At 36.4% G+C, this 25,882-nt stretch overlaps 1 protein-coding gene across 5 annotated transcripts in view, besides 1 other annotated feature; it reads left to right on the top strand.

The window, feature by feature from the left end:
- Nucleotides 1–25,882, top strand: part of KCNIP4 (potassium voltage-gated channel interacting protein 4) — a 1,220,167-nt gene that overhangs the window by 308,483 nt on the left and 885,802 nt on the right. The gene's annotated exons all lie outside the window — the stretch shown is intronic.
- Nucleotides 13,995–14,164: an enhancer, noted in NCBI's record as "experimental_77821 CRE fragment used in MPRA reporter constructs". NCBI's record gives its function as "activates a minimal promoter by MPRAs in K562 erythroleukemia cells, with activity observed for the introgressed 4:21627834 variant allele {active_cell/tissue: K562}" and the evidence as "EXISTENCE:reporter gene assay evidence [ECO:0000049][PMID:34662402]".

The following is a 25,882-nucleotide window of genomic DNA, read 5'->3' as shown; positions in this document are numbered from 1 at the left end:
TGGGAGTAATTGAATCCTGGGGTGGCAGGGGCTGGCCAAGTGGCAGCCCTCAGTCGCCCAAGATAAGATGGGTGTTGTTACCATGATGGAAAGCAGAGTCAAAGCGGCAATCAGAATAGTTGAATATGGGCAGTCCTATGGCATTGGCTAGTTGATGATAGAGTTCCTAGAAGTTAAATGGATGGGAATGCTACTAATTCTTACTTGATCTGTGTAAGTCAAAGAGTTCTAGATCAAGTGAACAAAATTCTAACCCCAAATCATGGCCTTTTACTGGGTGACTGTGTTTTAGGGAAAAGGAAATAATCAGAACCTTTGGGGACTATTAGACATTGACTCTAAACTGCTATTAATTCCAGAAGATACAAGCATGTCACTGTGGTTGACTAGTCAGAGTAGGGCTGATGGAAGTCATATGATTAATGGGTCCAGTGGGTCCCCAAATCTATCCTGTAGTTTTTTACCCAGTTCCAGAATATATAATTAGAATAGACATACTCAGCAACTAGCAAAATTCCTAAATTAGAATAAGATACTCTTTTTAATCCTCAAAGAACCCATAAGCTAAAAGAATGAGACAGTTATTTTTCTATCTATCTATAATGGAATATACAATATTTTTAAAAGTTTTCAATTCTCAGTTTTTAAATTAAATGTCCTAGAAGTTGTTTATATTGCTTTTTGAAACAAGAAGAAACATTATGTGCAATTTATCAATATTCTTGTCAGATTGACCTTTCATCATTTTAATTTCGTCTAGTTAATGAAGGAGACCTCCAGAATTTTAATTGTGATACAATATAAAAGACATTTGATGGAGAAATAATTAAATAATTCTCTTTAAAATTATTTAATGACAAAGATTGACTGTCTTCACTGACAATTGTATAGATTTGTTGATTCTCAATTTCTTAGGTATTTCGTGTCTTTTTGTTGGGTCTTAATTTTATCATTGCCATTTTTCAGTTCTGTAATTAGTTTAGCTGGTATTTTTCTTCAACTGAATAGTTAAATATGATTTAAACTTTATGTGATTAAGTCTAATAGATTGCATTTCCTGCTGCCTTCATTTGATTGGCAGCATAAGAAAATAGAAGCAAATACAGTTGATGAAAGAATTCAAACAATCATTTCATGTCCTGAAAAAAATATCCAAAATCTTCTTACATTCTCATTTCTGGGCAATAGTTCTGTCAAGAACTTAAAATTCACATCTAAATTTATTCACATTCTTTTAAAACCCAATTAATCAGCAGCATAATTTATACTTATGCCTTGACAAAGTCTCATATAATTATTCCTTTAAAGATAACTCTTTACTCACAGTTAACCAGTACATATAATGAATGTAGGGTTTTGTTGTTGTTGCTATCAGAACACACCTGGATACCTTATTAGCTCTAGTTTTGCAACATTATCACAAGTAACTAATTTTCTTTGTACAAAAAAGGAGTTTCACTGAGGAGCCATCTTTCAAGACTGAAATTCTGTGTCTCACATGTTCACACAATCATGCATTCAGGTCTATAGCAGACAGAATATGTGTGTCTAGATGGAGCATTTTTAATGAAATGTGCAACATTCTTTGCAGCAGATTTATTTGGCTGTCAAAACCTCAAATACAACTAGCCAGAACAGAATTTCCAAAAACCAGGGTGTAGAAATTGAAATCTTTGCTGCCCAAGAAATGTCAGTTGTCTAGTAATTTGCTTGCATTTACACGGGAGGTTGCCAGGATCATGCTGCAGTTTGCCTTGTAAAGGTAGAGCTCCCACCACTATGATAAAAAACATAAAAATATTTGAAATGGCAGCTTTTTCCTGAATTTTCTTTTTCATGGTTATACAGTTTTATGTTGTGTTTCTAAAGGATACCCCCAAAAATAGACCTGACAGCTTGCACCAAGTGCAGCCAGAGAAAAAAAATCTTTGAACCTAGACTGTGCATTGAGTGCCATCTGAAACAGACCAGAATTCAGAAGACATGTGGAGTACCTTTAAATTGTCTGACTCCATGCTGTCTCTTAGGCTGCTGATGAATCATGATTGGCCTTGATTTGCCCCTGATTGGAAAATTTATTGCACAGGTATCCATCAATATGGATATAGTTGTGTACTCTGCTGAGCTCTCTTTTTCTTCTAGAAAACATTTCCTTCAGCAATTGAAGTAAACCTTCAGATAAATTATCATTAGCATCTTTTGAACCTCCAAAAGTACTGATGTGTTATATTGTCTTACTCTTTTAGGAATTGGATGAGAGGAAGGAAGAAAATGAAAAGTGTGAATTTTACTGTTTTTCTCCCCCCTGCCCCATTCCTGTAGAGGAAAGAGCATGGACATTAAAATTGGGAGACATTATGGAATGATAAGTAAAAAGCTTGGAGTTCTGGTGTCAAACACTCTCAGTTTGAACTGCCGTTCAGCCACTTATGATTTGTGTGATTAGGCAAGCTCCTTAACAACTCCAAAATTTTGTTTTCTCATCTTTTTTTTTTTTTTTTTTTTTGAGACGGACTTTTGTTCTTGTCACCCAGGCTGGAGTGCAATGGCAGGATCTTGGCTCACTGCAACCTCCATCTCTGGGGTTCAAGCGATTCTCCTGCTTCAGCCTCCAGAGTAGCTGGGATTACAGGTGTGCGCCACCATGCCCAGCTAATTTTTGTATTATTAGTAGAGACAGGGTTTTACCATGTTCACCAGTCTGGTCTTGAATGCCTATCCGCAAGCCATCCACCCGCCTCAGTCTCCCAAAGTGCTGGGATTACATGCTTACATAAGCCACCGCGCCTGGCCTGTTTTCTCATCTTTTAAGTGAGTAAAATATTAGGACCTCTTTTGAAGAGTTATGAGGAAGATTTAATGAGCCAATCCAGGTAAGTTGCTTAGCACAGTGCTCGTCATGTCATAAACCCATGTGAGTAGCTATTTATGCTGCTTGAATCCTAGTTCTAGCAATTACTAGCTGGTGGCATTACCTGAAGTATTTACTAAAGTATTTACCTAAAGTATTTACTCTCTTAAACTTGGTTCCTCGTCTTTAAAATTAAAATAATGATACCCGACCTGGAGAACTATTTTGAGAATTAAAACGGATATAAAGTGCCAAGTGTTTGACATTTAGGAGCTGATCAGTACAGTCCACCCTCCATATTCAAGGGTTCCACAGCGCCTACAGGTCTCAAGCATCCCAGGATTTTGGTATCCCAAGGAGGTCCCGGAACCAATTTCCTGTGAATACAGAGAGCCAGCTGTAAACACAAGTTTACTCCCCTCTTCGCTGCTGCTTGAGTAACAAAAAATAGCAAAACAACAGGCAACAACTATTATTAAATGTTTCCTAGTGTCCATCAAGATATATCCTAAAGACTGCCATCCACTGTTGTGTTTTTTAGTAAAATGATGCCATGAATTCATGGCGTGGATTCACAATTCTGTCGAATTGCCCAGTTGCTATTGCTTTGTGTTAAGTAATTTGTTGTAGCTTCTGCTTTGGACTCATGTAGAATGGTTTCTGTTATATTATTTCTTATTTGCCATTGTGAAGAAATCAGTTGTTTTCTCTTTGCTCTCTAGCTTCTGTTAGAAAAAGTAAGATCTAATACTTGACTGAGGTTATGTGCCTTTTGGGAGTTTCTTAGGTGAACTTTCTACCTCTACACAGGGAATTATTTAGTAGATCTTGGAGAGTTTCAGAGAGAATGTCAGTATTACACTTCATTGTCTGCCACACAGCAGGAAAAAATGTGGCCTCCACACCAGGTGTTTAAGTACAATGTACAATAGAAAGGTTCCATTTTTTAGTGCTGCCTGGGTCTTGGCAGCTCTTCACATAGGAAAACTATTAAATACTTATGCATAAGTCATTTCTTTCAAGATTTTCAAGTAATAGTTTTAGGAAAACATTACTTTTCCGTTTCTTGGCAGTAGTTCTGTCAGGGACTTTGAATGCAAGTCCAAATTTATATCAGATTCTTTCTTTTTTTTTTTTCCTTTTTTTTTATTATACTTTAAGTTCTAGGGTACATGTGCACATTGTGCAGGTTAGTTACATATGTATACATGTGCCCATGCTGGTGCGCTGCACCCACTAACTCGTCATCTAGCGTTAGGTATATCACCTAATGCTATCCCTCCCCCCTCCCCCCACCCCACAACAGTCCCCAGAGTGTGATATTCCCCTTCCTGTGTCCATGTGATCTCATTGTTCAATTCCCACCTATGAGTGAGAATATGTGGTGTTTGGTTTTTTGTTCTTGTGATAGTTTACTGACAATGATGATTTCCAATTTCATCCATGTCCCTACAAAGGACATGAACTCATCATTTTTTATGGCTGCATAGTATTCCATGGTGTATGTGTGCCACATTTTCTTAATCCAGTCTATCATTGTTGGACATTTGGGTTGGTTCCAAGTCTTTGCTATTGTGAATAATGCCGCAATAAACATACGTGTGCATGTGTCTTTATAGCAGCATGATTTATAGTCCTTTGGGTATATACCCAGTAATGGGATGGCTGCATCAAATGGTATTTCCAGTTCTAGATCCCTGAGGAATCGCCACACTGACTTCCACAATGGTTGAACTAGTTTACAGTCCCACGAACAGTGTAAAAGTGTTCCTATTTCTCCACATCCTCTCCAGCACCTGTTGTTTCCTGACTTTTTAATGATTGCCATTCTAACTGGTGTGAGGTGGTATCTCATTGTGGTTTTGATTTGCATTTCTCTGATGGCCAGTGATGATGAGCATTTTTTCATGTGTTTTTTGGCTGCATAAATGTCTTCTTTTGAGAAGTGTCTGTTCATGTCCTTCGCCCACTTTTTGATGGATCTTTCCAGATTCTTTCAAAAAACCCAATTAACCAACAGCATTATGTGTTAAAAGAAGCACATCCTGATGATTGATTTCTTTGTAGTCGCCATCCTTCTCTAGAACTCTGGGCTATCTGTAAGGATGGAAAACAATGGGTTGATTTAATGTATCTGGGCACTTAAAACAGAACTTTAATCAGAATGTCGAGAATTGACATTAGAAAGGATGCTGCCATTTATTTGCTCATTTTCCAAGAGTGGAAAATCTACTGCAGTAATTTGAGTAAGTTTCAATGAAGTATGGAGGGGTACTGGATTTCATAACCTCCTCGTTGGGTCAGGGTACCAATTTGCCAGAACAATTTATTTTAAAATAACTTTATATTTGTGTTATATTGTTTTGACAAAAGAAGATAGAATTTTAGATGACTAACTTTCCCAGCCTTTGCTCTCTTCATTTTTAAATCTGGAGAAGCAAAATAAAGTGAATACAATTTTGTAATCTGGATTATTAAGGTGTATTCTGAAGATTTTGTTTATATTTTTAAATACAGTGCATCAGTTGCTATTCTTATAAATTTGCTTCAAAATGGAGATTATTAATTGACTATAAAATGTGAGTTCTTTAAAGGGAAATGTGATATATTGGTTATAATATTCTGTTCAGAGTTGGCAAACCAGGTCTTTACCATTTTGTAAATTTAGCAAAGCAGTTTAATCCTTCTGAGATCCTGTAGGTTTTTCTTACAAATGAGATGATTTAAATAGATGGCTTATATGTCTCCTTAAATTCCAAAATCCTAAAAATATTTTTGTCTCTTTGAATGTATAACTTTATATCACTTAAAGATTTTAAATATGAATGAGTGATGTGTCATAACTTTGCAAATTGTGTTTTTATTTCTGCATCCTTTCTTTATCATGTTCACTGTGGCCTTGAGGTAGTCACTTTCCTTCCCTAGGTTTGCACAGTCTAAATGTGAAAAGGAGAAAATTTCACAGTATGATCTCTGAAGATCCTCCCAGTTCTAATGTTTTCTGTTTCTAGCGTATGTTTATTGACATTATATAAAGTATAAAGTGTACATTTCTCAGTATAGTAGAAGATACATGAAAGTTAAAAAAAGCCATGCCATCTACTCTAGAGAAAGTTTTTGACTTCCATTGAATGAGATTCAGGGGTTTTAGGAAACCACTTAAATTAGGCATAAAAGTATGTATGTATGTGTTTTTTTTTTTTTTTTTTTTTTTTGAGGAAAGAACCCGTAGCTTTCCTAAGAATTTTAAATACTACATAGTGGATAACATAGTAACTTCTGTTGTCAAAGGTCTAGTGCAGTAATTCTTAAAATGTGATCATTAATGAGGTGTGGACCTCTGAGATTCTTTTAGCTGGTTCAAGAAATGAATCTATTTTTGTAGTAACACTGAGATGATATTTCTCTTTTCATCTTCTTTTGCTAATAAATGTACAGTAAACTTTTCTAGAAGCTCTACGATGACTATCATAGCAGACTAAATCCAGAAGCAGATATGAGAATGTAAGTATTTTCTAATAACCGAAATATTAAAGGTATTTGCAAAAATGTAAAGCAATGCCAATCTTCACAATTTTTTTTATTTTGGAAAATTTACATTTTTTTCAAAAACAATATTTATGTTAACATGTACTAACTTTATATCTTAAAATGAATAAATATGTTAATAATTTCTCAGTTTAAATTCTAATAAGGTAAATATCAAGATAAAACCCATATTAACAAAAGTTCTTAGAAATCTTTGATAATTTTTGAAAGTGTCAATAGGTCCTAAGACTAAAATGTTTGATAAATGCTGGTCTACTGCATTCAATAAGGTAGGATAACCTGTAGTATTAAATAGAGCCTGCCTTGTTGTTAACTTTCCACACAAAGATTTATTTCTCTCTCATTTAATTGTCTAAGTGGATGTTCAGGTTGGCTATCTTCAATGCATGACTTTCACATTTGCCTTAGAAGATACTAACCTCCCAGTACTCTAGAAAAAGGAAAGGAGTACCAAGGAGCAAAAGTGTGGCATTTTTATTAGCTTGGCCCAGAAATCTCTTTCATTATATTCACTAACATCCCATCAACTAGAACTGGGTTTTATGGCCAAATCCAATGGAATTGAAGACTGGGAAATACAGCTCAACTATATGTCCAAAAAGAAACAAAAAAAAATTGGGGGGATTACCTAGCAGTCTCCACTATACCTCACTTTTAATGTAGGTTTGCTGTCTACTAGCTAGGTAAACATAGATGCCTTACATAGCTGTTAATTTTTAGTTTCCTTCTATGTAAATGGGTGCAATAAACTTATAACTTTAGAAGATTTTTGTGAGGGAGCTTGTACAAAAGTCCCTAAAGAGTAGATAGGTATAAATTTGCCAAATAATTATGAAAAAGATTTTTTAAAACGTCTGTGACCCGAAGAGTGTTAAATCAGTCTGCTGGAAGAACGTACCGTTTAGAAATAGATACAAAACTTGTCATAAATATAACCTCAGTATAAGATTATTTTTGTGTTATGTACAATTATGCAAACTCTTTTGGGGCATCCAGAGGGATGGAATAGTTTTTAATGCTTTCATGGAAGCATTTGAGTTGGAAATTCTTGAAGAGTGTTCCCAAAATATTTAGCTGACATTACTTTACGCTGGACCTCCATCTCCTGCTCCAGATACCCTTCTTGTGGCACCTATATGAGTCTAATGTAATGGTGAATTTTCTTATCTGCTTCCCTCATAAGTTTGTAGCTCCTATTACTTCCATTGGAATAGAGTTCCTACATGGTTCTACTTTGTATGTCTTGCACTGAAGTGTGACTCATTATAAACCCTGGGACAGATATTTATTGAAAGGATTCTATTTACTTTCAATAAGAGCAATTGCATGAAAGGCAAAGAGGAGGTTATTATAAAGATGGAAGTTGGCCAGCCACAATGGCCCATGCCTGTAATCCCAGCAATTTGTGAGGCCAAGCCGGGTGGATCACTTGGGGTCAGGAGTTCGAGAACAGCCTGGGCAACATGGTGAAACCCCCAAAACAAAAAAAACAAGTGAAAAATACAAAAATTAGCCAGGCATGGTGGCTCGCACCTGTAATCTCAGGTACTCAGGAGGCTGAGGAAGGAGGATCCCTTGAACCCGGGAGGCAGAGGTTGCAGTGAGCTGAGATCACACCATTGCACTCCAGCCTGGGCAACAAGAGCGAAACTCTGTCTCTGACAAAAGACTATTTTTGAAGTCGAAAGTGTAGGGTGGTAGAAAACTAAAGTGTAACAATAATGCTGAACATCAAAAAGCATGGAATCTATTATGTTAGAAGATCATCACTGTGAAAGTTGACATAAGCAACCAGGGATATAAAAAAGGAAAAAAAGGTAAAATTGTACATGTCCTCAAATAATTAAAAGCTGAGGGAGTTTCCTTGTGATAGCACAAAGATGTAGAAAGCCTGATAAAAGATGGCATAATTCTTAATGGATGGGAAGTTAGAGCAAGGGTGATGGAATAGTGGCTTGAATGTGGCACCCAAATATTTGTTGAATGAATAGATGGTGGGTAATGTATAAATGATGGAACACCAAATCTCATTTTATTTCATAACCCTCAAGGAAAATGGAGTCAGAGGAAAATCAATTTTCACTTAAGATGAACAGATTGGTAGACTAAAGACTCAAGAGTTAGAAACTTTGGAGGGTCTTATTCTAAATAAAGCATAGATGCCATTGAGCACAATTGGTCCAGAATATGGGCACATAAAGATAGAATTGAATTGAGGAAAGGCAGGCCTGACCCAGATTGAGGAGGTGTTTTGAGAGGACATAGCAGAGGGTTTTTATACCGTGGAGTTGCAGAAACTATTAGAGATGTCCATATTAGGAGGATAGAAATACATTTTTTGAAGTGTTTATAGCATTAACTCCATCCACCTTTCCAACTGGAATATAGGTATAATGTCTAAGTTTATATCTTCATTGCTAAGTTACTATTGATTTACCTCATATCTAAGAAGAAAATAATTTATTTGCAAATTGCCTGTCCAATAGGTCATCTTTAGCTAATGTTTACATAACTACCATTTTTAGTAAAATTTTACTATTTGAATAAATGGAAAACTAGAAAATGTCATTAATTAAAATAAAAGCATGGCTTATATTACTATCTTTTTTTCTCTTAAGTACATTCATTCAAACCACATATACTCATTGAGTGTTTATTATGAAGCATGTTTTATAGTAGGTTTTGGAGATAGGAAGATAAATATGACAAAGTTCATGCCTTCAAGAATCTCATGTGTTGATAGGAGAAATAAACATGTAACAAATTCATATATAACTTGTGAGCAACAAGAGAAGCAATAATAAGATACAGAGGTAGTACATTTTCCTTACCGAATATAGTGAGGAAGCGTCACAGAATAACACTATGTAGAAAGTAGCCAGGTGAACTAGAGAGCGATGACATTTCGGAAGGTGCAAGGGGCGTGTGAAAGTAAATGGGAATGGGAAGTACCATATGGTGTTCAAGACACAACATGGGATTTGTTATTTCTGAAAAGTAGGTGTGAGGAGAGTAGCAAAACATGTTACTCAATACATTAGGCAAAAAACAGAAACATCTTTCATGCTATGCAAAGGAGTTTGGGCTCTTTCTTGCGGGCGTCTAGAGGCTATTAAGGAAACAACTGTTCATTGGATGAAGAGGGCATCATTGAAGGATTTTAAACAGGAAAGTTTCATGGCCATATCTGTTAGTGTGTTTGTTTTCAATCATCGTATCTGCAGCGAAGAGAGGTTTGAGAAAAGCACTAAGGAATTGATGGCAATAAGCCTAACACTTGATGCTGGAAACTAAACCAGCAGGGTCCGGGGAAAGAGAAAAAAGCAGAGTAAGTAATCAATATAATTTATGAAGACTTAGATAATATGAACATGAGTATGGTGATGATAGAGAAGAAAATGGGATTCTGAAGGATTTTTCTTTTTTTTTTTTTTGATGGAATCTCCCTCTGTTGCCAGGCTGGAGTTCAGTGGCAGGATCTCAGCTCACTGCAACCTCCACCTTCCAGGTCCAAGCGATTCTTCTGCCTCCACAGTAGCTAGGATGACAGGCATGTGCCACCAGGCCCAGCTAATTTTTGTATTTTTAGTAGAGATGGGGTTTTACCATGTTGGGCAGGATGGTCTCAATCTCTTGACCTCGTGATCCACCCACCTTGGCCTCCCAAAGTGCTGGGATTACAGGCATGAGCCACCGCGCTGAAGGCTTTTTTAAAGTAAATATGTTGGCCGGGTATGGTGGCTCACACCTGTAATCCCAGTATTTTGGGAGGCCAAGGTGGAAGGATCACTTGAGCCCAGGAGTTTGAGAACAGCCTGGGAAACATAGCTAGACCTCGTCTCTACAAAAAGTCAAAAAAAAAAAAAAAAAAATTAGCCAGCTGTGGTGGTCCATGCCTATGGTCTCAGCTAGTAGAGAGGATTAGGTGGGAGGATCATTTGAGACCAGGAGGTTAAGCCTACAGTGAGCCATGATTGCACCACTGCACTCCAGCCTGGATGACAGAGCAAGACCCTGTCTCAAAAAAAAAAAAAAAAAAAGAAAGAAAAAGAAAAGGAAATATGGTTTTCTGACATCAAGACATTACTAATTTTCATGTAGAAATCGCCCAAGAATAGAGCGTACACTGTGCCGAACTAAACAGGTATGTTGTTCTCTTGATGTTTCTAGTCAAAAAGAATCTAAATTCCCTATAGGTATCAGGTTGTTTCTGAATTTGAAGAACATTTTTTAAAACTTAGCTTCGTGATGGTGACATCATGCAGTTTTATTTCTATTTACATACAGTTTTAATATCTCATAAAGGGACACTGTAGCATTTTTCACACATTATGATATGATAGCAAATCCTTCAGCTACTGTTCTTTATTTAGTCTAAGAACACTAGCAGTGAATTGGACTCTAACAGGGCATCAAATAGGGGCATTTCACATGAAAGCGCCTACAGCTGACAGCCTTCTTGTTGCTTTGAGAGTAGTTAGTATTATTGCTTCCTTAAGGAGCCATGAAACTAGGCAAGCTAATTCCCCCAGATAATTTTCTTGTACATTAGCTTCAGTGATGCAATACAATCAGTTACATCTGATGAAGCTGATCATTGATTTATTATTCTTTTGGGGTGCTTAAACTCTCAAGTATCATTGTGATAACTATTGACACAATATGTCTTCTTTTAAAATAGATTTTCTATTTCAGGCCCAAGCTTTTCTTTTGCACTGCTTTGCAAACCTTTTCTTTTGCATTGCTTTGCACTGCTTTGCAAACCCTCCTGCTAAGTCCCAACCATCTGTCAGCCTACCTCTCGTGGCTTGCTAAGTTTTCTGACCTGTGACCCACCCAACACCTTGGAGGGGTGTGGAGAAAATGCAATTTTATTATCTCAGGTTAATGAGAACTCTACCTTTAAATGTATATACTTTTGTACTTCAGATTTTCCACAAAACCACATATTTGTGAAATTCTTATATAATTAAAAAGCTAATGTGCCATTTTAAATAAGATAATTTATGGGAAAGGTGTATAAACTTGCAAGTGCTAATCAAATGTAAATGGGTATAATTTATTATGGTATTAAGTTCAATAGTGATTGGTTAAATATAGCAAAATTTCTATTTACCTAAATATGTTTCACTTGTGTGACTCATTATTATTGGTAGGGAGATACTTGTTTTTTTTCTAGTGCCGTTAAAAGTACAGACAACATAGGATCACATTGAATAATAGTAAAAAAGATAAATATAACTGTGGTTAGCATTAAAAAGGACATAAAATGCCAGAACTTTTCAAAGTGACATTTCTCTAAATGAAATGAAATGTTTTCAATGGGAATTTAAGCCAAGGATCTGCAGAGACCGTCTTGCTCTCAGCCACTTTACTGTACTGCCACTAGTATTGAGTGCCTGGGATCATCACGGCTCATTTTTAATTTGTATATCAAGCATATGTCAAGTACCAGCATGTGCTAGGACTTACACACCTTGAGGATAACAGCCGGCCTTGCTTCTGAAGAGCCAGTAGTTTAGCACAAGAGATATAGTCAGGCAAAATGAAGATTGCAACTCGGCAGGATTGAGGTATGCATGGGGTATTGGGTAATCACAGTGAAGGAACATACCTACTCTCAGCTCATTAAATCATGTTTAATAGTCAGAATTTAGAATTTTGGAGGAGGTAAAGAAGCAGGTTGAAAGGAAGTAAAATATCCATTGGGGAAATATCTTTTTCTAAAAAAGCACAAAAGAACCATGAATTCTATAATGAATTTGAAATGAGGTAAAGTAAGCAATACTTACAGAGGAATCCAGGCTCATGTAACTTATAATAAACCAATATATAGCATTATTATGTAAAATATATCTATTTTGGGTAGAAAAGCTCAGCCCAGGTCTGTTAAACAAGCATTACTGCATACATATTACCTCCCTTTGGATCTTTAAAAGTTGAGTAAATTCCATTCGTTGCATAATTTGGAAATCTTTTCCTCCCAAGAATCATTTACACTCAACTTTCATAATATAACCGCACCATTCCTACATCATTCTCATGTTCTGAAAAAGTTTTATTAATGACCGACACTTATTAGACTCAGTGACAATCCAAGCAAGCAAATTATCTGGTGCTTACAAGCTCAGGGGCAAAATTAAATCAGCTTCAGTGTGAAAAGATCAACATCCAGGAGGCCTTAAGTAAATTTCAGAAACCACAATTCTTTTTATATTATGTTTTGGCAAGTTCTTCATGGAAAATTTCTTGAGAATCATCTTATTTTTTTCCAGATAAAATCTTTTCCTCTTTTCCTCTTAGGTTAATAATAAGGTAAAATACAGAAATAATTTCAAAAGTTAAAAATAATTGAGTGTAATTCAGGCAAATATCAGAAAATAATCAACAGCTAATGTGTTAAGCAGCAGTTATGTATTTAGCACTGCACTGATTATGTTTAAAGATGAATGAAAAATAAATGAGGATTAACAGTTTTTTGGGTGTGTGAGCATGCATGGGTGTGTGCATGGGAAAGACAGATCGGGAAAAAATGGAGTAGGAATAGAAGGAAAATTAAAACATAATTTATAACCAAGAGCTCAACCAAACCATAGTTTATAATGAAACTAAACCATGGTTTATAACCAAGAGCTAAACTGCCTAGTGTAGAATGCAGTGTAGAAATCTGAAAAGGTCTAGATTCATATGTGTGTGCCAAAGTAATTGGAAAAGTTTATTCAACAAGGTGGAGATTTTGGAATCTACACACAAATTTTGCAAAAGAATTTGTTATTTAGGCTAAGATTTTCAACAGTTCAATAGCAAAAGTTTTCTGAAGTAAAAAAGAAAATCTGACTTCAGCATTCAGTTATAAAACAACATTTAAGAGGCAATAGGAAAAAGGACTAAAAGTGACTAGGCCGGGACTTTATATATCTAAATCCATTCTTAGTGGGATTTTAAAATAAACATAGATTGTAAGCCAGACAGTTGCACAACAGTGACTGGAACCTGAAAGAGTGTAGCCTGGGGAAAAAAAAAATGGAACTCAGTTTTAGAAATGCACAGCAAAATAGGAAAGGTGCAGCCAATCATGTGGAGAAACGATCTGTCGTTCAATGGGAAAAAAGAACCCATATGACTCCCATTATTTACATACTAGTTCCTTTAGGGATTGGACATCTTGGGGACTCAAGAAATTTAGGCAAAGAAGGGTTGTCTACACAGCTTGGTACCACCATTGATGAAGGGTTTGAGTGAGATGGGGTAGTTGCCACTGCCCCAAAGTGCTTAGTATTACTATCTTAGTCTGCTTGGGCTGCCATAACAAAACACCATGGCCTGAGTAGCTTAAACAACAGAAATTTATTTTTGGTTCTAGAGTCTGGGAAGTCCAAGATCAATGTGCCAGCAAGGTAGGTTTCATTCTGAAGCTTCTTCTCTTGCCTTCTAGGTGGCTGCCATCTTGCTGTGTGCTCACATGACCTCTTTGTGCACACTTAGGGGGTGAAAAAAAAACAAAAAAAACAAGCTCTCTGGTATCTGTTTTTTAAGGGCACTAATCCCATCATGAGAACCTGACCATTCGTGGCCTCATCTAACCCTAATTACCTCCCAAAGTCTTCATCTCCACGTACCATCACATTGAGGATTAGGGCTTCAAACTATGACTTTAGGAGGAACACAAACATTCATTCTATAACAACTTCCTCCCTTAACTGCTCAGTCTTAGGTAGGAACTTTTCAAAGTAAGCCCCTGCTAGGATTGCCAAGTAAAATTCAGGACACTCCGTTTCATTGAATATCAGATAAATAGCAAGCAATATTTTAGTATAAATATGCCTCATGCAACATTTGTAACATACTAAAGAAGTATTGGCTGTTTATCTGAAATTAAAATTCAACTAGGAAGCTTGTAGTTTTGTTTACTAGATCTGGCAAGCCTAGCCTCTCATTTGTGGGTCAAAGGCTTTTGCTGTCTAAACCAACCAAATATTCATTCCAAACCAAGAGAGACTAAGATGAATTGGCCCAGACAGCTATGATCACTCCAGCTTTATAAATTGGTATTTGAACAGTGTAATGATTTGCTGTGTCACACAGTCAGCAATTTTTCAGTTACAGGTATTGACTATTCCCATTATTTCCTCTAGCATTTAGTCATTGGAAAGCTTGAGAGCTTTGCTTTAAGTACACTTAACTGAAAGGCATGTCAAAAGTACTTCTCTCTTATATAGAGTGACTTAAAAGAAGGGCAGACCTGGCTTTTGTTCAGGCCCTGCTACTCTGACAAAGTCACTGATAGAGCATTCTGCACATGGGGTAGCTCACCAGCTTTCTGCAGTTTTCTGTGAGAAGGCTCTGAGTTAGGGAAAGAGTATTTGTAATGAGAGAAGTGGGATTTAAATTCGACTTCCACTGATGTCCCCCATGTGGACTTGAGAGAATTACAGACCTTACCAAGCTTCAGCTTCCTCTACTCCCCAATTAGGATAACAACATACCCACTGCCCTCAATTTTACAAATGGGATAATTATAAATAGTAATATAAATAGTAATTATAGACATTCTCATATAACCTACCATGTGCTGAGATCAGCAGATTTATTAACATATTTAACATTCAGCATACCCTATGGAGGTAAATACAATTGTTATCTGTATTTTATAGATTCAAAAATAGAGGTAAAAAATAGTTAAGTAGTACTGCAGGGATTGTTTAATGTATATTATTATTTTATCATCATCATCATCATCATTTTAGTGCTCAGCAAAGGAGGACCAACAAAGTCATGATCATTTATTTAAAAATTATTTAAATATTCAGTTTGTCCCTGAAAAGCACTGTTGGTTTGCTGTGCTTCATAATTTGGAACCTCAGATCATTTTGGTTAAAAAAAATAGATGCAGCCATGTCTAATATGAACATAGCTTAATTGCCACATTCTGTCAGCTACTTTGTCACAAAATTAGGTAACTTTGGAGCTAGCAGAAGGGGAACTCTAATCTCAGTATATTCAAGAATTTATGAGGGCATTTACCTGTTAAGAGTCTTTCAAAACCTGTAAGAGCATAATAAGTGGGGGAGAAGCTAAGTGAAATAGAAAGTTGGCATTCAATTTACGGCGTCAAAGAGTCTTTGACTTTATTGTTTCTCTTCACTTGTTGAAACATATTGCCCATTTTCAGATTTTATATTTTACCTTTTTTATTTGACAGAGCTATTTATTATTATCTGAGACTCCAGTAAAAACATGAATATTATTTCTAAGATTTTGGCACTGACATTTTAGAGTCAAATTTTATATCTACTAAAATATGAAATATGATAACTTTTTAGTCAGGCCAGATGATCTACTTTGAACTGACAACATTTAGACAATCCTATGTCAAATTATATATGGATAAATACATCAATATGAATCATATAATTATCCCATCCTAGGTTAAGAATCAAGGTCGAAGGTCATCTATTCCACACCCACTTATTTTTTTGAGTTGTGGTGACATTTTCACTTAGTGTATAAATATATGTGACTGGTAATACTGTAGTTTCTTTCTTTAACTTAGAGTCTGTAAATGGAAAAAACAATAGTTACAATTCTGGAATATATGCTATGAAAATTCTCTATGAACTTCTCTATTCCCACAAAAGCCCTATGAGCTAGTTATTACTCTTCTTATATATATATTATAAAGCTGACTTGGGAGTTCAAGTCACTTGCCCAAATTCACTGTTGGTAAGTAATGGAGGCAGAATTTGAAGTTTCTTCGGTCTGTCTGATCTGAAGTCCTGTGCGCTATTCATTGTAGTACATTGCCTCTTGGGGAGGGAAGGGAAGAAAGGGCTAATTGCTGCCTGGAGTGAGGGATGCTGGATACATGTTATTTCTGCACAGATTCTTGTGCATGTATACAGTATATATATCACCATCACCCACCCTGCTTTCACTGGGATGGAGCAGAAAGGAAGGTTATTATTCAAATTCCACTCTTTCTCAATAAATACTTTGACTTGTTCTTAGCTGCTCCAACAAGAAAGAACTACTGGTAACTACTAAGCTGGTATTTCTGGTGGTCTGAAAACTGTAGCTTCCTAAGCTTCTCTGTAACTAATTGAAAAGAACTTTGAGAGTAGTAGGTGGCAGAAAGTAGTAAGTGCCAGAACTCCCAGGTAATGCTTTTCTGAGATGCTCCAACAAGAAAGAACTATTGGTAACTACTAAGCTGGTATTTCTGGTGGTCTGAAAACTGTAGCTTCCTAAGCTTCTCTATAACTAATTGAAAAGAACTTTGAGAGTAGTAGATGGCAGAAAGTAGTAAGTGGCAGAACTCCCAGGTAATGCTTATGCAAAACTAAAAGCTAAAGTTTGGGAACCAACATAAGCTAAAAAACTGTGAATGAGAGACAGAGAGAGAGAAATTTTATTAGAGAAACCATTCCATTCAATATTTGTTGAGTTCTTACTGTTGGTAAAATATTGAGCTCAGCTTTGTAGGATAAAAACATGAATGCCAAGATGAATACGGCATTTTCCTGTCCTCATAGGTGTAATCTCCTTTCATATAAAGCATATCTTATGTTTAGTAATTTTTCTAGCAAGTAGCATGATACCAGTCACTAGCTGGTAAATTCATAATTGTTTAGTAATAAGATTTGACTCAGTGTGTGATATAATTCACCATCTATAAAGTGCTCAAAAATTACAAATCTGTTTTCCTGCTATTAAAATGAAGACACACAATGTCAAATTCAGAATGTTTATGATATTATGATTTCAAATTAAGCCGATGGAAAAAACTAATTGGAAATCATAGTACTGCACTGAACACAAGGACATTTGCTGCTAGTATTGTAGTTGGCTAAGCTCAGACATCTTTAATCTCATTTAAGTGATGTCATAAGCTCCATCATATTGAATGTTAAATACTTATACAAAAAATATAAATGACTGGATATTTTCACCTATTGTATTTGAAATCTTCCCAGTTATTAAGTTCTGAGTGATGGCAGAAGAAATATAAAAAACAAGTCACAGAAATTGATTTGATTTTGTGAAGTATAACCTGCCCTGACAATTCAGGTGTTACTTAGAAAGTTTCTATTTGTAAAATTCAGGTCACTCCTTCCTCCTTCCTTGAGAGAAATCATTTTCAAACTATTTTTTTAAGTTGATGCCTCTTATTCAGGATTTTGCTGATTATTTAAAAATTATAAATATGGAGAATTATGTAGTTTTATAGTTTTAATTAAATTTTAACTATTAAAATATGTCTTTCTTTATATGCAGAAGTCATGCTCCAGTGATATAAATAAACATGTTAAATTAACAGATATTATGAATACATGTCTTGATTTTGTAAAAAGCTCTGCATAATGACTCAAAGGCATAATGCTTGCAAACAGCTGGAAAGCAAGGTTGTCTTGCCCTTTCTGAAATACTCTGGGGAATAAGAGATTTTGCAATGAAAGAAGAACACATATATTTAATAAATTTCTTTTTTAATTGGTGTGGAATTGCAGGATAGGCAGGCAAAAGGTTGAGAAAACACATGGAAAAACTGATTATACATATCAGCCAATTATGACCTCAATTAACATACTCAGAAGGGCCCGTTTTTTCTTGTCCCAGAGATCAAATAAGGAACATCTTGGGGGTAAAGTCATTAAAAGACTTTAGCAAGCAGTTTTTAATTATACATCATTTGTACATCTGTGAATAATTACCTGGTAGTTGCTACCTGGTGACAGTGATTGACAGAAAGGTACCAATGATTCCAGGCTAAAGATACATCTTTAATATGAGCAAAGGATACAATAACTTCGCAGCATGAAGACAGTGACAGCAAGGAGCTCTCCAGCACTCACAGTTGAAAGGCAAAGTTGCCTGGCCTCCCAGTATTTGAGGTGCCAGTTGCCAATGGCAGCCCTGAAGTAGGGTGAGGATCCCTTTAGGTTCTTCTTAGATATGTGTCTTTCACTGTTCTTATAGGGAGCTTATGCCGGCTTAGGTCATTCTTTTCTTTCTGATTGTTCAATAGATAAAGGCACTGGCTCCAACCTCAGAATGTTCCTGAGTATTAACAATAGGTGAATCAAATATCAATTTCTTTTATATAATGTACCTCTAGCAGACCAGCTTCAGACCTTCGTGCCCAAATGTGTTGGATTCTCAGAAAACAAGCTTAAGCCTCATTGTCTATTGTGAAAACCTCCTTTTGCCTTTTTGTCTATTAAAAAAAAGAAGTGGCCGAACATGGTGGCTCGTGCCTCTAATTCCAGCACTTTGGGAGGCTAAGGTGGGAGGATTACTTGAGCCCAGGAGTTCAAGAACAGCCTGGGCAACATGGTGATACCCTGTCTCTACAAAAATTTCATCAGATGTGGTTATGCATACCTGTGGTCACAACTACTTAGGAGGCTGAGGCAGGACGATCCATCGCTTGAGCCTAGGAGGTTGAGGTTGCAGTGAGGCATGTTCACACCACGTCACTCCAGCCTGGGTGATAGAGCAAGACCCTATCTCAGGAAAAAATAAGTAATAAGATGGCAAAATTATGACACATTTTCCTGTGAACAGCACACTTCAGGGTCTGAGGCAGCTGCAGTTTCAACTGGAGAGATCTAGATAGCATTAAGTGTTTATTTAGGTGTGGCAGACTGAATCCTCTTGACCTGTGAACATATACTATTTGACTAGAGTGATGTTTTGCCTTTTTAAATTAAATTTGAGTAGTTTTGGTTGGAGCATTACTACTATTTGCAACAATCCTCAAAACTCCCTATTTATTGCTTTTTGCTTGGCTCACTTCACATCCATTGTAGGCATTTGTCTGTGTTCTGGTTTAATGCTGTGAGTTTTAATAAGAGTTTCTGTACGGAGCCTGAGATATCTCTATAAGAAGAAAAAGTAGGAAGGTTGTTAGTTAAACCACTGGAGTCAGAATCTCAGGAAAACAACAATCAGCAACCAGGCCCAGAGCTGGGGAAGCATCATGGAGGTTTGGAGCAGACTGGAGATAGAGGTCAGAAGGCTGTACTGAAAGACAGGGCATCAGAAGCAAAACTCGGGACTGGATGATTGAGCACATGACCTTGGCTAAGTACATGGGCAACAGCTGTAAAAACTAGAGCAAGAAAAGTAGGGGATTCTCTTATATCCCCTCCTGAGTTGTAGAATGTGTAATAAGACAGTTTGGGCTTAGTTGGAAACTTAGCTAGGGCTGATTGTTCAGGGAAATCTTTGCAACTATTTTTCATCAATGCTATTTTTTCTTTTTCATTTTCTATTTTTCTTTCTATTCAGTTAACAGGATTTGGGGACAGTTTTAGATAGGAGGGTAAAACTCTAATAATATTTTTCTATGCCTACTGTATTTTTTTACTTATTTTATTTTATCGTATTTTTATTTTGAGGCAGGCATCTTGCTCTATTACCCAGACAGGAGTGATCTTGGCTCACTGCAACCTCTGCCTCCCAGTCTCAAGAGATCCTTCCATCTCAGCCTCCTGAGTAGCTGGGACTACAGACATGTGCCATCATGCCCAGCTAATTTTTGTATTTTTTGTAGAGACAGGGTTTTGCCACATTGCCCAGGCTGGTCTCACACTCTGGACTCAAGTGATCTGCCCACCTTGGCCTTTCAAAGTATTGGGATTACAGGCATGAGCCACCACGCCTGGCCACAATTCTTTCTTTACTTATGGTTTCTACTCTTTTGATCTTCACTCTCCTTAACACTTTTTTAAAACAATCACTTTCCAATTCCTACTGCTGACTCCATTCATGGATTTCCAGAATTAATTATTAATGTGCTCAGTCATGCTGCCCCTTGGGCCTAAAATTTCTGGTGTATATTACCTACCCTTACTTCTTCCACAAAACATTGAGTACAATGGTCTTTACATCACTTTATTTCATGAAGTAACTATTGCTATACCCATTTTACAGGAGACAAGATGGAATCTTACAGAAGTGAAATCATAATCCCAAGGTAACACCCCTTCTAATTTGAAGTGTCATCTTCTGGCTGCAATTGTGATCTACTAAAGCACTTATGATTTTTAATATCTGAGTTTTTGCCTTCTGCATCTTCCATTAGACCATGAAACACTTGAAGACAGTGGCTAGGACTTACCCATTTTAGTATCCGTCATACCAGCTAAAGTCCTGGTTCATAGCAGGTGCTTAGTTACTGAATAGATGATGAATGAAAAAGTTATTAGTAAATTTATATATTTGGTGAATACAATCAACAAAGGGAGCCTCACCTTGGGATCTATGCCTTATTTGGCTTATTTCAGGAACAGGTTACCTGGGGTTGTTACTTTTCCTCCAGTCTCCAAAGGTTCTAAGGATTTGAACAAATCCAGACAGAAATAATGAGCAAAGCTGCAATTAGAATTTGGACTGTCTGATTGCATGTCTTCTAAAGTATGCAGTACAGCTAACAACAAGGATATGATCAAAACTTATGTAAATAATAAATATTCATCTTTCTTACTCTTGCTTTAACTCAGTGGTACCACCATGTTTAATATTTGCTTAATCAAGCACTAATTTTTTAAAAAGCTATTTCTACATTCAAATATTTCAGTTGATAATCATTAGCAATTTCTCAAGATTTTTAAAATGTGGAGCGCATTAGTTTTCTATTTTAATTTGTGACTTTGGAAATGAATATCTAAGCATTAAATGTTGAACGCATGGTACAGTGAAAATAGTTCTGAACGAGGACTTAAGGAGGGAAGTCGGAGGCCAATGGACTAACTTCTATCTTTGCTGTTAATTATCCAATCACTCCACAAACATGTATTGAGTCTCACTTATCGGGTGAGCAGTGTATAGTTGGTATTGTTGGTATTTACACATAGATAAATGAAATGAGGTCCTGGGATCATCAAGTAACTCACTATTTGGTAGACGAAACAAACAAGTGAACATATGAGATAATATAGAAAATATATAAATATGGCCGGGCACGGTGGCTCATGTCTCTTATCCCAGAACTTTGGGAGGCTGTGGTGGGCGGATCACGAGGTCAGGTGATCGAGACCATCCTGGCTAAGAGGGTGAAATCCCGTCTCTACTAAAAATACAAAAAAATTAGCAGGGCGTGGTGGCGGGCACCTGTAGTCCAAGCTACTAGGGAGGCTGAGGCAGGAGAATGGCGTGCACCCGGGAGGCGGAGCTTGCAGTGAGCCAAGATCACGCCACTGCACTCCAGCCCGGGCGACTGAGCGAGACTCTCTCTCAAAAAAAAAAAAAAAAAAAAGAAAAAGAAAAAGAAAAAGAAAAGAAAATATATAAATACAAACAGAGAGTGAGAGAGAGAGAGAGAGAGACCAGAAAAAGAGAGAAGGAGAAAGAGAGAATGCAAAAACCAAGAGGAAAGAATGATCCACTCTCCAACTAGAAAGGTAGCTCTCAATCTGAAAAGTCACTTGATTACTTTGTCTATTTTGCTTATCTGCTACATCAATGGTTCCTAAATTTTCATTATTTTGGCTACCACCTTCATATTTTTTGACATACCTTATTATCAATTTTATATACTTGATTTATTTAAATGGGCTTTAACTCAATTGACTTATTTTTTAAAGGGAGTATTGTTCCGGACAGTAGTATCTATGAAATCACAGGCTTGAAGAGCTGTTTCTTTCTTTTTGCTAGCATTATACTGAATTTGATTAAATTACCTACCCAGACTAGGAGCATCAAAAATTACCTCTGAGTATTTAGAGTACCACAGCAAACTGAACTGATGCCAATGTAAAACAAATATATTCCTATTAAAGTCTGTTTTTGAATAGTATGTTACTACCTTCAGCATCATATGTACCATCAGTGGTATACAACCTATTACAATTTAGATAATTCTGGACAACATGTCCCTTCTAAAGTCCTTTCTGTCACTTATATTTTAGCTTCTGTAAAAGTTTTTGTTTTATAAATAATTTTCTCAATACCTGTCAGGTAATTCAAACTCACAGAGGCCTGAAAGAACAAGTAACCTTTTTGAGTCCCTGTAGGATTTTGCTAATTTCAAAGACAGAGTTTAAAACAAATGATCAGAAGTAGAAGCGAGATCTCCTCTTCTTGCCTGGGGGTGTTTGAAACAGCCCAGATCCATAAAAAGGAGGAGATTAATTTCTGAACATGTTTATTTAGACAATAGAGGGTGGAATAAAACATTCTCTAATCCCAACTTCACAGAAGCTTTTCTCTTGATTGAAAACTGGTGCTTGTCATAAATATAAATATTGGATTAAGGAGGAATAGGAGACATTAAAGTAAAAAGCAGGAAAATCATTGTGAGCACTGGAGCAGAATAATTATTCTATAATTTGTTTATGATTCATTTATGATTTATTACTTAAAATTACACAAAGGAATCATGGTAGCATGTGGTTTAGGAATAAAGCTATAACACATTAGGGAAATTAAAGGAAAACGTGTCCTCTAATAAAAAATGCAGCAATGATTGACATATTAAAAACACAAAGAGGTGTTTTTCCTCTTTGACATAATATTTAAATTCACTTTTATTGCCATATTCTTTTCTGAAACAATGACCCACTTCTCTGTGATTCTCATAGCAGAGGGACTACAGGATGACAGTATGTTTTGTAAAACTTTATTTAATAATGAATTTTACTTTCTTATGATTTATTGATATTTACATTTTAGAAATTACTCTATTTTGTAATGTAAAACCATGGTGAAAGAAGGCACAGTACACAACCTTTTAATTTGTTATCAAATGACAGTTTTGGTAAAAATACTTATAAACTCATTATCAAGGCAGCTACATTTGTCTTACTAATTTGTGTATTCACTCAGATGTACTAACTATAGTAAGGGACTTCCCACATCGCCCTTGGCCAAAGAATGTTTTTAAGAACTTACATCACTTAGTACCTTCATTGATTCATTTAAATAAATATTTTGGGGAACTGTTATGGGGTGAATTTTGTTCTCTAAAAAGATATGTTGAAGTCCTGACAGCACTTCAAGATGTAATCTTATTTATAAATAAGGTCATCAATTAGCTAATTCATTAATTAGATGTAACACGTATTAAGATGAGGCCATACTGAAGTAGGATGGGCTGTTAATTCAGTATGACTCGTGTCCTTACAAGAAGAGAAGAAGAAACGCAGAGACACACAAGAGGAACACTATGTGACTATGGAGGCCCAGAGATGTGAATGACACAACTACAAGCCGAGAAAAATCTCGGATTGCCAGCAAACCACAGAGACTAGAAAGAGTCAAGGAAGGAGTCTCCCCACAGATTTCAGAGAAAGTTTGGTCCTGCTGACACCTTGATTTTAGACATATAACCTCTAACATGAAGAGAAAGTAAATCTCTGTTTGTGGTAATTTGTTACGACAGCCCCAGGACACTAATAGAGACACAGGGATGTGTTCAGGACCTGTTGTAGACAATTGCAACACATTGGTAAACAATTCAGACAAAGACTTCTGCACCGGTGGTGCTGACATTCTCAAGAGGGAAGAGCAGTCTGGAGATGTGTTAGATGGTAATAAAGAGTATCAGTCATGCACAGAAGAGGTGGGTGGGAGGGGAAGGATTGAAGGGTGCAATTGTGAGACAGGTGGAGAGATAAAGGTAAGATTTGAGTCAAAATTTGAAGAAGATAATGGTATCAGTCTTGGAAAAACATTAGAGGAAGAACACTTCAGGGAATGGGAGACCCTAAGTGCAAAGCTTTAAGGCTGGAGCATGATGAAGATGCAAGAGGAAGGGCAGAAGGAGCTGAGACAAGGGCAGTGACTGGGGAGCCAGAGCTTGTAGGGCCTTGTATGTTTTTTTGCTCAAAGAAATAGGGAGCTATTGGAGGCTAAAGCAGAGGCATGACATGGTCTGACCTACCTTTAAAAGAATCACATTTGTTTCTGTGTTCAGAATAGACCATAAAGGGCATGGATAGAAACCAGAGGACAAATTCATAGGGTATTTTCACAATTCAGGCAAGAGACAAGGATTGCTCAGAGCAAAGTGGTGGCCTTGGAGAGATTGCAGAATGGTTGCATTATAGAAAGAGCCTCAAGATAGAATCAACAAGATTTCCTGGAAAATTGGATGTGGGGTGTGAGAGAACAAGAGGAGTAAAGAATGATTCCTAGACTTTTGCCTTCTCAAAGAATAAAACTGCAGTCATCTAAAATATGGAAGCAGATTTAGGGATGGGGCAGGAATAGCTTCCATTTTAGAGATGTACTTTATTTTTCTCCTCAATTCTTTGTTTTCAGGTTTTGTCTGTTTCATTGTTTGGTATCTAGAATATTTGTTACTTTTATATGTTTTTTTTTGTTTTGTTTTTTGTTTTTTTGAGGCGGAGTCTCGCCCTGTAGCCCAGGCTGGAGTGCAGTGGCGTGATCTCGGCTCACTGCAAGCTCTACCTCCCAGGTAAACGCCATTCTCCTGCCTCAGCCTCCTGAGTAGCTGGGCCTACAGGCGCCCACCACCATTCCAGCTAATTTTTTTTTTTTTGTATTTTTAGTAGAGACGGGGTTTCACCGTGTTAGCCAGGATGGTCTCGATCTTCTGACCTCGTGATCCGCCCGCCTCAGCCTCCCAAAGTGCTAGGATTACAGGCGTGAGCCACCGCGCCCGGCCCTATATGATGTATGTTTTTAAAGTTATTTCTAGTTTCTTTTACTCTAATCATTATTTTTTTCTTTTTTCCTTTGATTTATTTTTATTCTATCACTGAAAGATTTTCCTGATTTTTCTACTTTCACTCTTTTCTCTCCCTCCTTCTTTCATTCTTTCTTTCAATTGTGCTACTCTTATCTTCCTAGTTTTTAACTAACTAGTTTTTAACCAGGAAAGCCTATCCCATAGATGCCAACCACACTCAGAAAAAGACAGTCTGATCCTCTTTTTCCAGAAATAGGTGTGCTCTACTTCAGAGCAGATGACTCGTGAGAGTTGCAGGATGGCTTCAGACGGTGACACATGTGCAGTAAAACCAATGGTTGTGTGCCTTTAAGATCCCTCCATGAAATGGCTCCAGAGTTTGCTTCTCAATGATTAAGACTCCTTTCCCAGAATATGCCCATAGGTGTCCTAAAACGGATTCCTGACTTGTCAGCTTTTTTGATGGGTTTTAAAATGCGTGTCTGTAAGAGATTTAGATGATATATATTTAGATTTAGATTATACATATATAAGCCATAAATATATGAATTTATCTATATAAGCTTAAATTATATATATAGCTTAAATGTGTATATTTAAGCTATAATGTATATTTAATTTTAATTTAATATAATTTTAATGTAATGTAATTTTATTTTATATATAATGTATATTTGATTTAATATGCATTAAATAGAAGCTATATTATAGCTTAATTTAAGCTATATATATTATATATATAAATACTTATATATATATAGCTCAATATTTAAGGGTTTATTTTCCCTTTATCTTTCCAGCTGGGAGGAGGGAAATAGTCTAGTGAA

This window comes from Homo sapiens, chromosome 4 (genome assembly GCF_000001405.40).
Source record: "Homo sapiens chromosome 4, GRCh38.p14 Primary Assembly".
NCBI classification, from domain to species: domain Eukaryota; kingdom Metazoa; phylum Chordata; class Mammalia; order Primates; family Hominidae; genus Homo; species Homo sapiens.
Note: the sequence above shows the minus strand (reverse complement) of the source record. Positions and strands in the feature narration are given on the sequence as shown.